The sequence below is a fragment of the Homo sapiens genome, chromosome 21 (genome assembly GCF_000001405.40).
Source record: "Homo sapiens chromosome 21, GRCh38.p14 Primary Assembly".
Taxonomy (NCBI): domain Eukaryota; kingdom Metazoa; phylum Chordata; class Mammalia; order Primates; family Hominidae; genus Homo; species Homo sapiens.
Genome location: NC_000021.9, coordinates 20,577,761 through 20,594,059, shown reverse-complemented (window position 1 = coordinate 20,594,059; position 16,299 = coordinate 20,577,761). Strand labels below are relative to the sequence as shown.

The 16,299-nt window shown below is 34.4% G+C and overlaps 3 annotated features.

The window, feature by feature from the left end:
- Positions 765-1,964: an enhancer, noted in NCBI's record as "MED14-independent group 3 enhancer chr21:21964409-21965608 (GRCh37/hg19 assembly coordinates)". NCBI's record gives its function as "activates an origin of replication core promoter dependent on BRD2, BRD4, P300/CBP and CDK7 cofactors, and independent of MED14, by STARR-seq in HCT116 cells {active_cell/tissue: HCT116}" and the evidence as "EXISTENCE:reporter gene assay evidence [ECO:0000049][PMID:35650434]".
- Positions 1,319-1,820: an enhancer, noted in NCBI's record as "H3K27ac hESC enhancer chr21:21964553-21965054 (GRCh37/hg19 assembly coordinates)". NCBI's record gives its function as "activates a minimal SCP1, AML or CMV promoter by ChIP-STARR-seq in primed H9 embryonic stem cells {active_cell/tissue: H9 hESC(primed)}" and the evidence as "EXISTENCE:reporter gene assay evidence [ECO:0000049][PMID:30033119]".
- Positions 11,517-11,717: a silencer, noted in NCBI's record as "peak4374 fragment used in MPRA reporter construct". NCBI's record gives its function as "represses an SCP1 promoter by STARR-seq MPRAs in K562 erythroleukemia cells {active_cell/tissue: K562}" and the evidence as "EXISTENCE:reporter gene assay evidence [ECO:0000049][PMID:32103011]".

Genomic DNA, 16,299 nt, shown 5'->3' with positions numbered 1-16,299 from the left:
GGCATTCTGGAACACTGCGTGCATCCCAAGACCAAATTCACTTAGGAGTGATGAAATAGGGTGACTTCAAACTAGTGGTGTCTAGCTGAAACTTAGAACATAAAAAGTCACACACAGAGACATACAGACACACACAAACACACACACACACACACACAGAGTCATCTCACAGCAAACAGTAAAATCTAAATAGCTCAGATGCCTTATGTAAACCCTTTGTAAAATAAAATAAACAGCTTAGGCCAACTCAAGAGTGACTGAACCCACTGATTCATGGGAAGTTCAGCTCAAATATAAAAATAAGGGGAAAATAATTTAAGCAGAAATATTGGAGGCTTTCAAATGCAAAGAAAAGGTATTTTACAGGATTAGTTCAGTAAAATCTATAAAGAAACAAACAAACAAATAAAAAGTGACCAAGCAAGAAACAACAACAGCAACCTCTGGGAAGGGACCCTCAGGATATAGAGTTGCCATCCTGTATCATCAGAAATGGCCAGCTTTCTAAAAACAAATAAACAAACAAGTAAGTGTACACATACTTAGAAACCAAAAACAGGAAATAGAATCTGTCTTTGAAGGGGCCCAGATGATGGAACTAAAAGACAAAAACCTTATGTTAGTCAAGGTTCTTCAGAGAAACAAAGCCAGTAGGAGATAGATGATAGGTAGATAATAGATGCATATAGATACATAGATAGTGTCAGGCCTCTGAGCCCAAGCCAAGCCATTGCATCCCCTGTGACTTGCACGTATACATCCAGATGGCCTAAAGTAACTGAAGATCCACAAAAGAAGTAAAAACAGCCTTAACTGATGACATTCCACCATTGTGATTTGTTCCTACCCCACCCTAACTGATCAATGTACTTTGTAATCTCCCCCACCCTTAAGAAGTTTCTTTGTAATTCTCCCCACCCTTGAGAATGTACTTTGTGAGATCCACCCTGACCGCAAAACATTGCTCTTAACTTCACCACCTAACCCAAAACCTATAAGAACTAATGGTAATCCATCTCCCTTCGCTGACTCTCTTTTTCGGACTCAGCCCACCTGCACCCCAGTGAAATAAACAGCCAAGTTTCTCACACAAAGCCTGTTTGGTGGTCTCTTCACATGGACACGCATGAAAGATAGGAAAATATATTATGAGGAACTGGCTCATACAATTATGATGGCTGAGAAGTCCCACAGTCTGCCATCTGCAAGCTTGAGACTCAGGAAAGCTAGTGGTATCTGAGACTACAATGAGAGAGGAGAAAGGAAGAAACTGGTCAGGCAGTCAGTTAGGGTGGGTCCTTGGGTAAATTGTTTTAAACCAAAGAACAGCCTAAAAATTCAAGCTGCAGGCATAGATAAGGGAACTTACACAGAGGGGCTTGCCTAAGACATGCCCACAGCCACATAGATAAGAAAGGCTACACATGTGACTTGCCCAGACATGCCCACAATGGAAAATTCCATCCCTCAACACAGGCACAGTAAGGGGAGCAAAGCAATATGGAGTAACTCAAACTAAGGGCCCATATGCACAACAGATTGGGGTGGAGCTGCCAGAAATTTGCTCCTTATGCAAATGAGATGCCCAGCCCTCATTTGTTGTTTATAAGAGCCTTTGCATTCAACTGTAATAACAGCAACCTTTTTGGGGGTTGCAGCAGAGAGCTTTCTCTCTTTCACTTATTAAACTTCTGCTCTAACCTCACCCTTGGAATGTCCATTTCCTTGATTTCCTCGGCTGTGAGACAAAGAAATTCATGTGGCACTCAGACAACGAGGCTGTTTCAACAGGACTGAGAACCAGAGAAGCTGATGATATAAATCCCAAAAGAGGGCAGGAGAAGACTGAGGTCCTAGTTTATGGAGGCAAGCAGGAAGAAAAAAAGGGCAAATTTCTCATTCCTCCACCTTTTTATTTTATGCAGGCCCTCACAAGATTAAACAATACCCACGCACATTTGGAGGAGATGCATCTAATTTACTGAATGCACTGATTCAGATACTAATTTCATCCAGAAAACTCTCAAAGACACTCATAGAAATAACGATTTTTGGCACTTCCTGTCTCAGTAAAGTTCACCATAAAATCAGCCATCACAAACCCAATGTAGCTACCGTAAATATGTTCAAAAAGTAAACTATGCAAAAAAAAATGCAAGAAGATAAAATGAAAGTATCTTATTAAATACAGAGTATTGATAAAATCATAGAAATTATTATAAATAATGAAATGGAAATTCTGCAGTTGGAAAAATGCAATAACCCAAATTAGACATTCACCAGAGGAATTTAAAAATAGTTTTGAATTGGGAGAATAAAAGAATGATCAAACTTGAAGATAGATCAATAGAGATTATGTAATCTGAAACACCAATCAAAGAACAATTCAAGAAAAATAGTGCCTGAAAGGATGTGATACACATTTATCCCGGAAAATATGTATGAGAAGGGAGAGAAAGAAGAAGAATCAACATAGAGGAATAAGGGCTGAAAGACTTCCAGATCTGATAAAAATTTAATCTGCTCACTCAAGAGGTATGACAAACTCCAAAGAGGATAACCACAAAGAGATCTACATTCAGATACCTCATAATCAAATGTTAAAAGTCAAAGACAGAGAGAAAATCTTTAAAACATCAATGGAGAAATGACTCAGTATGCATGTTTGCATCCCAGTAAGACTGTTGGCTGACTTCTTATCTCAACAATGAATTTCAGAATGGTACAACAGATTCAAAGAGATGAAAGTAGGAAAAGAAAACAAAACAAAACAAAAGAATTGCAAATCAAGAGTCTTATATTCGTGTTTTGCTAATTATAACTAAGTTCCAAAAATTATGAAAAATAAAGACAATTTTAGCTTCACAATCATTGCTTAAAGACATACCTTACAAGAAATTCTAAAGGAAGTTCTTTAAAATAAAAGCGAGACATTAGATTAGAATAAAAAACAATGAGTGCAGGTAAAGCTAATTATGTTGGTAGTTGCAAAAGACTGTATAATTGCATTTTGTTTCCTCTTTTCTTCTCTTTACTGATTTAAAAAGCAATTGTCTCAAAAGTATATGTATGTACTTCACTGCTGAACCTATAACTTTTAGAAATGTAATACATTTGCCAATAACAGCATAAAACAGTTGAGTGAAAAAAAAGCTGTATTGGCACAAACAAATGACACTAGTTAGTAGCTCAAATCCACAAGAAATGAAGAGAGCAAGAAACAGTAAATAAAAGGGTTGCTATAACAAAATCTATAAATATGTCTTTGTTTTTCTTCTTTCGTTAGCCTCTTTAAAATACATAAGGTAATACAAAGTAATATGTATAACCATGTACTGTTAGGTCTATATCAAATATAAACAGTATATATACCAGTAACTGCATAAAAAAGTGGAGAAGGAAATGAACAGTATAGGTGGAATATTTTAACATCTTATTGTAACTAAGTCATTATAAAGCTAGAGTATGATCAGTTAAGATTTATACCATAATCCCTAGTGTATCTGCTAAGAAAAACCTCAAAAACTAAAATATTAATTGAATTAAAATGTTGGAAAATATTTAATGCAAAAGGATGCAAGAAAGAACAAATGGAGAAACTAAAAAATAGAAGATATATAAAAAACAAAAAGCTAAATGTAAAATATAAATGAAATCCTATCAATTACAGCGTATGAATGGATTAAATAATCCAATCGAAAGTGAAGACTGTCAGGCTGAATTAAGTAAGATTCAACTATAGGCTTTCTAAAGAAGATGTATTTGAAATTCAAATAACACAAATAGGTTGAAAGTAAAAGTATTAAAAAGAAAATACTCTGCAAACATCATAAAAAGAGCCAGAAAAGCTGTCAGACAACATAGTCTTTAAAGAAAAAAATATTACTAGAGGGACATTTCCTAATTATAAAGGGTCAATCCATCGGAAAGATGTAACAATCATTAACATATATGTACTTAACAACAAATCTACAAAAGACATAAAATAGAAACTGAAAGAATTGAAGTAAAAATTAGACATTGCAACAATGATACAGTAATGTGTCACTTAATGATGGGAATATGTTCTGAGAAATGTGTCATTAGGTGATTTTGTTTTCATGTGAACATCATAGGGTATACTTACAAAAACCTCAATGATACAGCTTCCTACTCACCTTAGCTTTAAGGCCTATGCTATTGCTCCTAGGTTACAAACCTGTATAGCATGTTACTTGTATGAAATACTATGGACATCTGTAACACAATGGTAAGCATTTGTGTATCTAAACATATATAAACATAGAAAAGGTAAAAAAAAAGTACTTTATATTATGGTTTTAATTTGCACTTTCCTGATAGCTAATGAAGTGTAATTTACATAACATTTTTTGTGAAATGTCTGTTCAAGACTTTAGCCATTTTTTTTTGCCTCATAGTTAATTATTCATTATATTCTAGATTCTTCATTCAACTCAATCATTACATATATTTGTATATTGTGAATATTTCCTCTCCCTTTTAAGGAGTGACTTTCTTTTAAAATCTCTCTCTTTCTTTCTCTGTCTCTCACTCTCCTTCTCCAGTGTTGTTTTTCAAATATATTTTTGATTTAGATGAAGTCCAATTGATCATTTTAAGAAGTGTTTGTATTCTTTGTAAAATTGTCATATTGGCTCATCTAAAGGTCAGAAATATTTTTTCCAGGAATTTTTAGAGTTCTAGATTTCAAAGTTAAATGATCTCTTCAACTCTAATACACAAATTAATTTGATTAATTATTTTTATTAATTACTATTTTAGTATTATATTAATATAATTAATTATACTATGCAACCATCATGTTTTCTAATACTATATTATATTATTGTATTATAATAATTATAATTAATTATTAATTGGAATACTAAATTATTAGTTATAATACTACATCTTATAAAACTATATATTATATTATGATAATTATAATTATATTATATTGATTATATTTATTAATTATAATAAGGCTGTGGTATGAGGTAACATTCAAGTTTTATTTTTTATTATTGATAGTCACTTGCTTCAAGACAATTTATTGAAAATACACTCTTTTGTATGTTAAATGCTTTCATAGCTCTATAAAAAACAAATTGGTTATATATATGTATATAACATCTATTACTAGACAAGCTGTTTCCAAATTTATTGAAGAAATGCAAAGCAACAAAGCCGAAATAAACTGTAAAACAAGATTTTTAAAAATACATACAGGGCATATATTTTTTATATTGATATATTTATAAATCCATATCTATATATTTATATATTATATTCTGTAAAACGCACCAATCACCAGGAGTCTAAAAGTAGCCAATTGCAGTGATACATATCTATATATCGATATAAAATATCTATATATTTTTTTATATAGGGTATATATACATACACATATACCAACTCCTGGGTATATATATACACACACATATACCCCTCCCGGGTATATACACACACACACGCACACACACACAAACACACATGCACACACATATACCCCCTCCAGGGTATATATATATATATATATATACACACACACACACACAAACACACACATATAACCCCTCCTGGGTGTGTGTCTGCATATATATATGTATATATACCCACTCCCAGTTGTATATATGCATATATACCCACTCCCTGGTGTGTGTGTGTGTGTGTGTGTGTGTGTGTGTGTATATATATATATACACATATATATACACACACACACATATATATATATATATATACACATATATATATACACACACACACACATATATATATATATATATATATACCCCTACCCCTCTTGGGTATATATATATATTCCCTCCCCCAGGTATATATATACCCACTACTGGGTATATATATACCCACTCCCGGCTGTATATACCCACTCTCGGGTGTATATATATATACCCACTCCCGGGTGTATATATATATACCCACTCCCGGGTGTATATATATATATATATACACATACACATACCCACTGCCGGGTATATATACATCCCAACCCCACGTATATATATGTATAACCCCTCCTGGGTATGTGTGTGTGTGTGTATATATATATATATATATATATATATATATACACACACACACACATAACCCACTCCCATTATATATATATTATACCTGCCCCCATATATATATATACACACACATATACCCACTCCCAGGCATATATAGATATATATATCTATATATACCCACTTCCAGGTATACATATACATACCCACTCCCAGGTATACATATACATATATATATATATATATATATATATATATATACACACACACACACACACACACTCTGGTGTTTATATATATATATACACACACACACACTCTCAGGTATGTGTGTATATATATATATATATATATATATATATACCCACTCCTGGGTGTATATTTATATACCAACTCCAGGGTGTATATCTACATATATACCCCCTCCAATACCCACTCCCAGGTGTGTATATGTGTGTGTGTGTGTGTATATATGTACACACACACACATATATATATACACACACACATATATACCTACTCTCGGATACATATATATGCACACACTCCTGAGTGTGTATGTATATATATATACACCCACTCCCGGGTATATAAAAATATATACACACACCCCTCCTAGGTATGTATATATACCCCCTGCCAGGTATATATATATACACATATATATATGCACCCTTCCAGGTATATATATATACACACACCCTCTTGGGTGTGTATGTATATATATATACACCCTCCCGCATATATATATATATATATATACACACCCTCCCGCTTGTATGTATATATTTATATACACCTGGATATATGTGTGTGTGTGTGTGTGTGTATATACACACACCCTCGCTGTATATATCTATATATGCACCCTCCTGGGTATATATATATATATATATATACGTGTGTGTGTGTGTGTGTGTGTGTGTGTGTGTGTGTATATACATCCTCTTGTCTATATATATACACACACTCCCACATATATATGTGCATATATGGATATATACACCATTCCAAGTGTGTGTGTGTGTATACACCCTTCTGCATATAAATTTATAAATATATACACACACACAGACACATACACACCCCCTCCCAGGTATATATACACACACACACCCCTCCTGGGTATATGTATGTATCTGGGTATATATATATATATATATATATATATATATATATATCTGGGTATATATATATATCTGGGTATATATATATATCTGGGTATATATATATATATCTGGGTATATATATATACATATATATATATATATATATATCTGGGTATATATATATATAGGCTCTACTTCTTCCATTGGCATATTTACCTTTTCTGTCACCAATATACCACTTTCTTAATTATTGTACTATTATAATAAGTTGTGAAATCAGACGTTAATGTCCTCCAAGTTTTTCATTTTTAAAATCTTTTCTGGCCAGGTGCGGTGACCCACATCTGTTATCCCAGCACTTTGGGAAGCCAAGACGGGTAGATAACCAGGTCAGGAGTTCAAGACCAGCCCGACCAATAAGACAAAACCCCATCTTTACTAAAAGTACAAAAATTTGCTGAGCATGGTGGTGCTATTCGGGGGGCTGAATCGTAAGAATCACTTGAACCCGGGAGGCAGAGGTTGCAGTGAGCTGAGATTGCTCCGCTGCACTCTAGCCTGGGAGACAGAGCGAGACTTCATATATATATAAAAAAAAACTTGTTCTACAGTTTATTTTGGCTTTGTTGCTTTGCATTTCTTCAATAAGTTTGTAAATAGCTTGTCAATATCTAAAGCGAAGCTATAAAAATTGTTGAAATTTTCTTTTGATTGACTCTATATACTAATGGAGATGTATGACTTTTTAATAATATTGAATCTTTCCACCCATGATTCTACGATATAACTTAGCTTCTAAAAGTCACCTTCAATTATTTCCTAAAATGTTTTATAATTTTTAGCATATAATACCTATAACAATAGCTATCTTTCTATCTATCAACTGTTATCTATTACCTTTCTATCTAAACTTACTTGTATTTTAAGCAATTTGATGATATTTTAAATGGCATTGTGCTCTTAATTTTATTTTCCATTTTTTTGGTAGTATGTAGGGAATGCAATATGTGCCTTGTAGTACACGGGCTTGAAAAACTTACATATGAATTTCATTAATTGTGGCAGATTCCTTACTATTTTCTGTGTATCTAACCGTTTTATGTCTGAATACAGTTATTTCTTCCTTTCAATTCTTATACGTATTTTTGCCTTATTTAATTGGCTACAGTCCATAATTATGTTGCTGAATAGAAGTGATGATAATAAACCTTATTGCCTTTGTTCTCATTTCAGGAGAACTTCAAGCTGTCATTCACCATTAAATGTGGTATTAGCTGTTTTTCATTGATTCCCTTTCTCAAACTGAGGAAATTTTCTTCTCTTTCTAATTTGCTGAATGGTTTAAATAATACATTTTGTCAAGATGTTTTTCTTCATCTATGGGAATAATGATATGTTTTCTTCTCTATTAGGTTACTGGCGTAAATTGCATTGATTGATTTTTCAAACGAAATTTCAATACAGCACATAGTTAAGTCTTGCTTTTTACATAAAAGCTGCCAATCTCTGTCTTTTATACTTGGTTTATGTTTAAATACCATCTAAAAACATTTATACCTTGCCCTTTCCACGTTTGTGTGTTCTGTTTTTTCTCTTTCCTGTCTTGAGTTAATTAAATACTTCTAAATATTTTCCATTTATTTTCTCTATTTGCTTTCTAGCAATACTGCTTTATATTTTGTTTGGGAAGTCACTGCTCCTGAAATCTAAATAGGCATCTTCTACAAGTGTCTGCTAAGAATTAATATTGTACCACTTCAGGTAAATCATAACAAAATGAGAAAAATATGACTCCCTTTACCTCTGCCCAACATTTATGTTATTGTTCCTGTATATTTTTCTTCTACATATAGTAAAATATGTTAAACTGTGTCCAGACTTGGTTCCTTCCGGTGTGTGTTCGTGGTCTCGCTGACTTCAAGGATGGAGCCGCAGACCTTGGAAATGAGTGTTACAGCTCTTAAAGACTGCATGGACCCAAAGAGTGAGTGGCAGCAAGATTTGCTGTGAAGAGCCAAAGAACAAAGCGTCGACAGCGTAGAAGGGGACCTGAGTGGGTTGCCACTGCTGGCTGGGGTGGCCAGCTTTTATTCCCTTATTTGTCCCCTCCCACGTTCTATTTTTTGTTTGTTTGTTTGTTTGTTTTTGAGATGGAGTCTTGCTCTGTTTCCCAGGCTGGAGTGCAGTGGCGCGATCTCGGCTCACTGCAAGCTCAACCTCCCGGGTTCATGCCATTCTCCTGCCTCAGCCTCCAGAGTAGCTGGGACTACAGGCACCCGCCACCACGCCCGGCTAATTTTTTGTATTTTCAGTAGAGATGGGGTTTCACCATGTTAGCCAGGATGGTCTCGATCTCCTGACCTCATGATCCACCCGCCTCGGCCTCCCAAAGTGCTGGTATTACAGGTGTGAGCCACCGCACCCAACCTCCATGTTCCGTTTTTGTCCTATCAGAGTGCCTGTTTTTCAATCCTCCCTGCGATTGGCTACTTTTAGACTCCTGCTGATAGGTGCGTTGTACAGAATGCTGATTGGTGCCGTTTACAGAGCGGTGATTGGTGCATTTTACAATCCTCTTGTAAGACAGAAAAGTTCTCCAAGTTACCACTTGACTCAGGAAGTCCAGGTGGCTTCTCCTCTCAAAACGAAATAAAGTCATTTTATCTTTTTTTTTTTTTTTTTTTGCTTTAAACTGATGGCAGTCATTTAAGAGAATAAGAGAAGAAAACAATTGTGAGGGTTCTGTATATAATTAAGGTTACAAACTTTAAGATAGGGAGCTTATTCCGGCGGGCCCAATCTAATCACGTGAGATTTTAAACACAGAACTTTCTCCACATGTAGGCAGGCAAGTTGTGCTGAAGAGGAGGTAAGATTCAAAATTTGAAAAAAGCTTACAACACTTTCGCTGAGAAACTTCTCTTAGACCAAAATCAGGGGCCAATATGGGATTCACCTCTTTCTATGTATTTCTCTCAAATATCACATCCTGTCCTGCTCCTACCTGCTGTAAAATACTGAAAAATCTTTACCTCCTATATTCTGTAGTTTCATAGATGTTCATGATTACTCCATCATAGCTAGACACAAAAATTCTAACATAGCATGATAGAAAAAATACATATTGTTTGCTTAACAAATAAATATATAGGCATATATATTAATAGACTTTCCATCTTTTTTCAGCATGATAATGTGATATTTGATTATTGTCTTACTCTAAACTTTAAAGAAAGTTTTCCTGTATAAACAATGACACTTTTTGACAATATTTTTCCACAAGTACAATGGTAACTGAAGAAATTTTGAATTTAGCATCTTGAGTCACTTCAGTAACTTCATCTAAAAAAAGCAATGATTTCACAGTTTAGTTCTTCTTTACTTTACAATAATGATTTTGTAAGTTTTCTGACCTTCTGTTTTTACATATAGCTCAGAAAAAACTCCAATCAATGTGATAAAGGCTTGTGTTACATAAAGCAATAAGCATGTTAAGTATTTACATAACTGCTCCTACGTTTGTCAATTCTTTCTTTTTTTTTTTTTTTTTTTTTTTTTTTTGAGATGGAGTTTTGCTTTTGTCACCCAGGCTGGAGTGCAGTGGTGCGATTGGTTCACTGCAACCTCCGCCTCCCAGGTTCAAGGGATTCTCCTGCCTCGGCTTCCTGAGTAGCTGGGATTACAGGCATGCGCCACCACGCCCAGCTAACTTTTGTATTTTTAGTAGAGACGGGGTTTCACCATGTTGGCCAGGCTGGTCTTGAATTCCTGACCTCAGGTGATCCGCCCGCCTTGGCCTCCCAAAGTTCTGGGATTATAGGAGCGAGCCACCGCACCCAGTCTGGCAATTCTTTTTAAGACATAAAAATATTTTTCTAATGTTTAATAAGTTTTTTCCCATTTTAGGTGTTTAAAAATATTTAAACAGCAGTACTTTCTCAATTATAATTTGATCTTGTTATTTTATTAGCTAGTATATTTACATTTTCTGGAAAAATATGTTAATATAGCCTTTTATCCTCTATGTTTTAGGAAGTTAATTCAAGGACATTGATTATGCTGCATTATAACATAAAAGTTAGAATTAACTGGTAGCAGCTCAAAACAAACACAATACAAAAACCATAGGTACATTTGAGTCTCTAACTGCTAATCAAAATTTTCTTTGCTCTGTTTTTGTGAGCACCCAGATATTTCCTAGTTGTCCTTGCAGTTGGCTTCATTGCAAGGCTAATCGAAATGACCATATAAACATCTTGTAATCAAAGGAATTCAAGCAAAAGTTATATTTTGTATTTGGAGGCAAAGCCTTTTATAGCAGAGCTGTGCTGCCTCCGTGCTTTCTTTCTATTTCAACACCTAGGAAAATGAGGACGCAGGTGTTGGCCAGGCTGAAAGATGAAAGAACTAATCCTTCTGTCTCACAAGGCATGTTAAAGGTATCCATCATTGCCTTGAAAACGTATATCATCTTTGGAGTAGTCAGTCTTTTCTTTCATAGAAGCACTCACTGCTTCCCCTCTTGTGTCATTGTTTCCGCATTTGTAATCTAACGTAATCTTTTTAGACATAGAGGTTTTTATGTGGGAGGAAAAAAATCCCAAAATATTTTAGAGGTTTTTTTCTGAAAGGACAGTTGTCTCCTATTTGAATTTGTCATAAGTTGTCATTGAATTTGAGAGATGAATACTAGAAGGAGAGTCTCTTTTGCTAGTAAAAGAAACATGTTTCCATTTAAAATATAACTCCTACTTGTTCTTAGAAAAATATCCAATACATTTTTAAAAAATTTCAAAAAAGTTATACATGTCAGAGACATACTTACAATATCAAATTCCAACGTATGATGTTAGAATTTAGTGGCGTATAAGTTTGTTTTAATATAGAGCAAAGGAATGTAATAGATATAATAATGTTTATCTAACAAAAAACAGCTGTTTGAATAGAACATGCAAGGGAAATTAGTGAAAAGGCTACCTCACAAATACAGCCATGCATATAGCTTGTAATGGAGCATTCTTTCTGTTGCATATAGATATGAAGATTTTTACATAACCCCAAACCTCTCTTTAAATTGCTAGAGTTAATTCTTTCATTATTAAATTTCAAATGTATTAAGATGTTTGATTTGGGAAATATTTTTCTGCAAGTAAAATATGGTGGTAAATAGTTTGAGTATCTCTACATAAATCTTTTCTATTTGCTATATGTGTCTTTTAAAGCACAAGCCTTTCAGAGAGAGAAGCACTAAATTAGTATGCAGTAATTGGCATGTTTACCTCTATTGAATTCATTCTACTCAAACTCTGCTAATTTCATATCATCATAGTTTATGAGAGTCTGAGGGGACCTCAGAGATCAATTTGTGATTCCTATTCCCTTTAGTACCGATCAACAGACTGAGGCTCAGAGAAATTAAATGATTTTTCACAGGCCTCACAGCTTCTTAGCAACAGAGCTGGTACTGAAACTCAGGTTATATTTAATTTAATTTTAAGTGCTATGATTACATTTTTTCCCTAATTAGATATCCTTTGTATAATCACAGGCTTTTTTTTTTTTTTTGGCTAAGAAATAACTATGTGCTCTTTATTTCTTCCATATAAACATGGCAGTTAGATATGATTTAAAAAGGTAACCGTGTATCCTTTAAAGATTTTTTACTTTTTTTATACTTTTAATAATTGTATCTACTGCTTTCATACTCATGGTGCTATATGAAAGTACTCTTCTTATTCTACTTGCATATCTGTATAAACATAACAATAATCTTAAAATCTTCCAACATCTGTTTGGAAGAACGATTAAAATAGTCTTTTAATGAAAAGACTGGTTATAATGTTATTTTACAGTATAGCACTGGGTACTTATAAATAAGGGCCTATGCTAGGGCTGTTGATATAATGGGACTGTGGAGTCTAAAGTAATTCCATCTTGGATGCTAATTTGCTATACTGATGTCTAATTAACCCTAGTTTAAGGAAGGTCTAAGATATCTAGCTTACCTATTGTTCCTTAGGTAAAAGCAGGTATGCAAATCCTGCCCTTAGGTCAAAACAACCTTGATTTTATCATACTTCAATTGCACTACATATCTCTTCTTAATCATGTATGCCCTTTCTCTATGGTATAGAAGCCCTGAGTCTGGGGGCTGATGGCACAAGAATTCATCATCTTGTCTCACTGCTGCCCAAGACACAGACATGGCTTTTTTCAATGTTTCTTTCTGAGAAACTGGGTATGTCAACCTCTTTCTTCCCTGTCCTCTTAGCTTCCTTGGACTTCGGGGTAGGTTTGCACAGGCCTGCCACCAGTGGAACAGGGATCAATGTGAGTTTATATCATCTGGCCTAAAAGCCCTAGTGAAAAATGTAAAACATGATATTGTAATGTATTTAGCATGTAGTTTATAAGAACTTGCTCTTAAACTATACTTGAATCCTGGCTCTTCCCCTTAACTGTCAGGGAGGCTTTGGGAAGTGTCTTTTTCTCTCTGTACTCGTTTTCTTACTTATAAAATGGAAATGATAGCAAGTCCAATCTCACAGTATGCTTGGTGTTAAATCAGTTGGTATATGCAATGATTTCAGCAAACTACCTGGCTTGTGGTAAGTGCCAATAAATAAAATCTTTTAAAATTTGTCATTAGTTATAGCAATCTAAAATAGTACTTTTTGTTAATGAATATAGAATATAATGGCAAAGCTGTTTTATTGCTGCAAATATGAATATTATGTTCATGGGAAAAACATTAAATCATGTCAACTTTTCCATTGTCAGTGAAGCTTTCTTTAAAGAGGAACACAAAAAGTCACTCCATTTGTACACATATTTTAAATGGTATGTTTCTAATTTAAAACTTAAAGCCAGAGATCAACCGGAGAAGTAAAGGGACTTGTCAAATACCTCAGAATCATGATGGTGTACATGTTTCCCAATTCTGATTCTCTACCCTGAAACAGTATTAGACTGTGTGTGTGTGTGTGTATTAGTTTTACATGAAGTGCTTTTTCTTTTCCAATTTTGCAAAGACTGTCCTATTTTCTCCCAGATCCTATAGAACTGACAACATTTCACTGCCATAGCATTTATACCTTCCCATTGTAACTGTTGACTTCTTTGTTCATCTTACATAACTATAAATGTTTTAAGAAATATGACTGTCTTGGCCAGGGATGGTGGCTCACACCTGTAATCTCAACACTTTGGGAGGCCGAGGCAAATGGATCACCTGAGGTCAGGAGTTTGAGGCCAGCCTGGCCAACATGGTGAAACCCCGTCTCTACTAAAAATACAAAAATTAGCTGGGCGTGGTGTCATGCCACTGTAATCCCAGCTACTCAGAAGGCTGAGGCAGGAGTATCTCTTGAACCCGGGAGGTGGAGGTTGCAGTGAGCTGAGATCCCACCACTGCACTCCAGTCTGAGAAACAAGAGCAAAACTCCGACTCAAGAAAAGAAAAAAGAAAAAATAAAAGAAATATGACTGTCTTATTTCTCACATCACCTGTTGCTAATATAATGTCAATAAATGTTGAACAAGTATTCAATTCCAGTTGACCCTAATGCATTTCACAAGAACTTCCTGTATTTACTTCCATAAGTACCTGACAATTTTACATCCATACTTTTCTGACTAAAAAGAGGAGAGCTAATTTGGATTGTTTCTTATGTAAGCCATTCAAATGTTTGCATGTTTTCCCATTTTGGTTGATTATGAAACTGTGTCATATAAAATCATCTCAAATATATGATGTATATCTCATTGTCCCATCTTCTAAGTATAATGATTAACATTTAGATAAGTCTATAGGTGTAAAAATATATATATCAGTTTTTTCTGGATGTAGTTGAAATTACGTTTTGAAAGTAAACTTGTCAATATGTAAAAATAAGTACTCACAGCCACATATTTTACATCTTAATAGTAACTCATTTTGCTTTCTTACTGAAAGTGCATAACTTTAGAAAATGATTTTACCTAAGCTGAACTCCAGTGCTAATTCCCATTGTCAGTTATAACACAATATTCCCTCAACTCTGTTTCAAACTCAGAAGCAAGAGAGCAAGAACATTTTTTCAGAGGTTAACTTTAAAAAAAAAATTTGTCAATATGATCTGTGTGTAATCTCAATCGTAATATCAAGAATTAATGGACATTCCAAGTGATTTCTAACTCCACGTGATATAGAATGAAGTGTTTTGTTTTACGCAGACATTTCTTCAGTACACTCTTTCAAATGAAAATATTTCAAATATTTCTCTTATAAATGGATAATTTAAAGAGGAAGGTTTACTACATCATAGAAGACAGTGTAGTAATTCTTCAAAGATCTAGAACCGGAAATATCCTTTGACCCAGCAATGCCATTACTAGGTATATATCCAAAGGAATATAAATCATTTTATTGCAAAGATACATGCATGCATATGTTCAATGCCGCACTATACATGATAGTAAAGACATAGAATCAACTCAAATACTCGTTGATGATAGACTGGATAAAGAAAATGTGGTACGTACATGCCACGGAATACTATGCAGCCATAAAAAAGAGCAATATCATGTCCTTTTCAGGGACATGGATGAAGTTGGAAGCCATTATTCTTAGCAAGCTAACACAGGAACAGAAAACCAAACCCCACATGGTCTCACTTATAATTGGGAGCTGAACAATGAGATCACAGGGACACAGGGAGGGGAACAACACACACTGGGGCCTGTTGGGGGATGGTAGGGAAAGGGAGAGCATTAGGAAAAATAGCTAAAGCATGTTGGGCTTAATACCTAGGCGATGGGTTGATAGGTGCAGCAAACCACCATGGCATACGTTTACCTGTGTAACAAAACTGCACATCTTGCGCATGTATCTTGGAACTTAAAATAAAAATAAAAATTATAAAAAAAGAAACAACAACAAAAAAGAAGAAGGTTTAGAAAGAATCCCCGATGAGTAGATAATCTTGATGAGCATACGATCCCTCTCACTGATATAAGACAGGTGTATACACTCCACAGCCACACTCTGTTTCTGTATATTTATCTAACATTCATTCATTCACAGTGCTCAACTCTGGATATACTCTGGATTTAGTTCAATTATAATTTCATGATATGCCACAAAAGAGTTCCATTTTGGAAGGATTTTAATTTTTCAC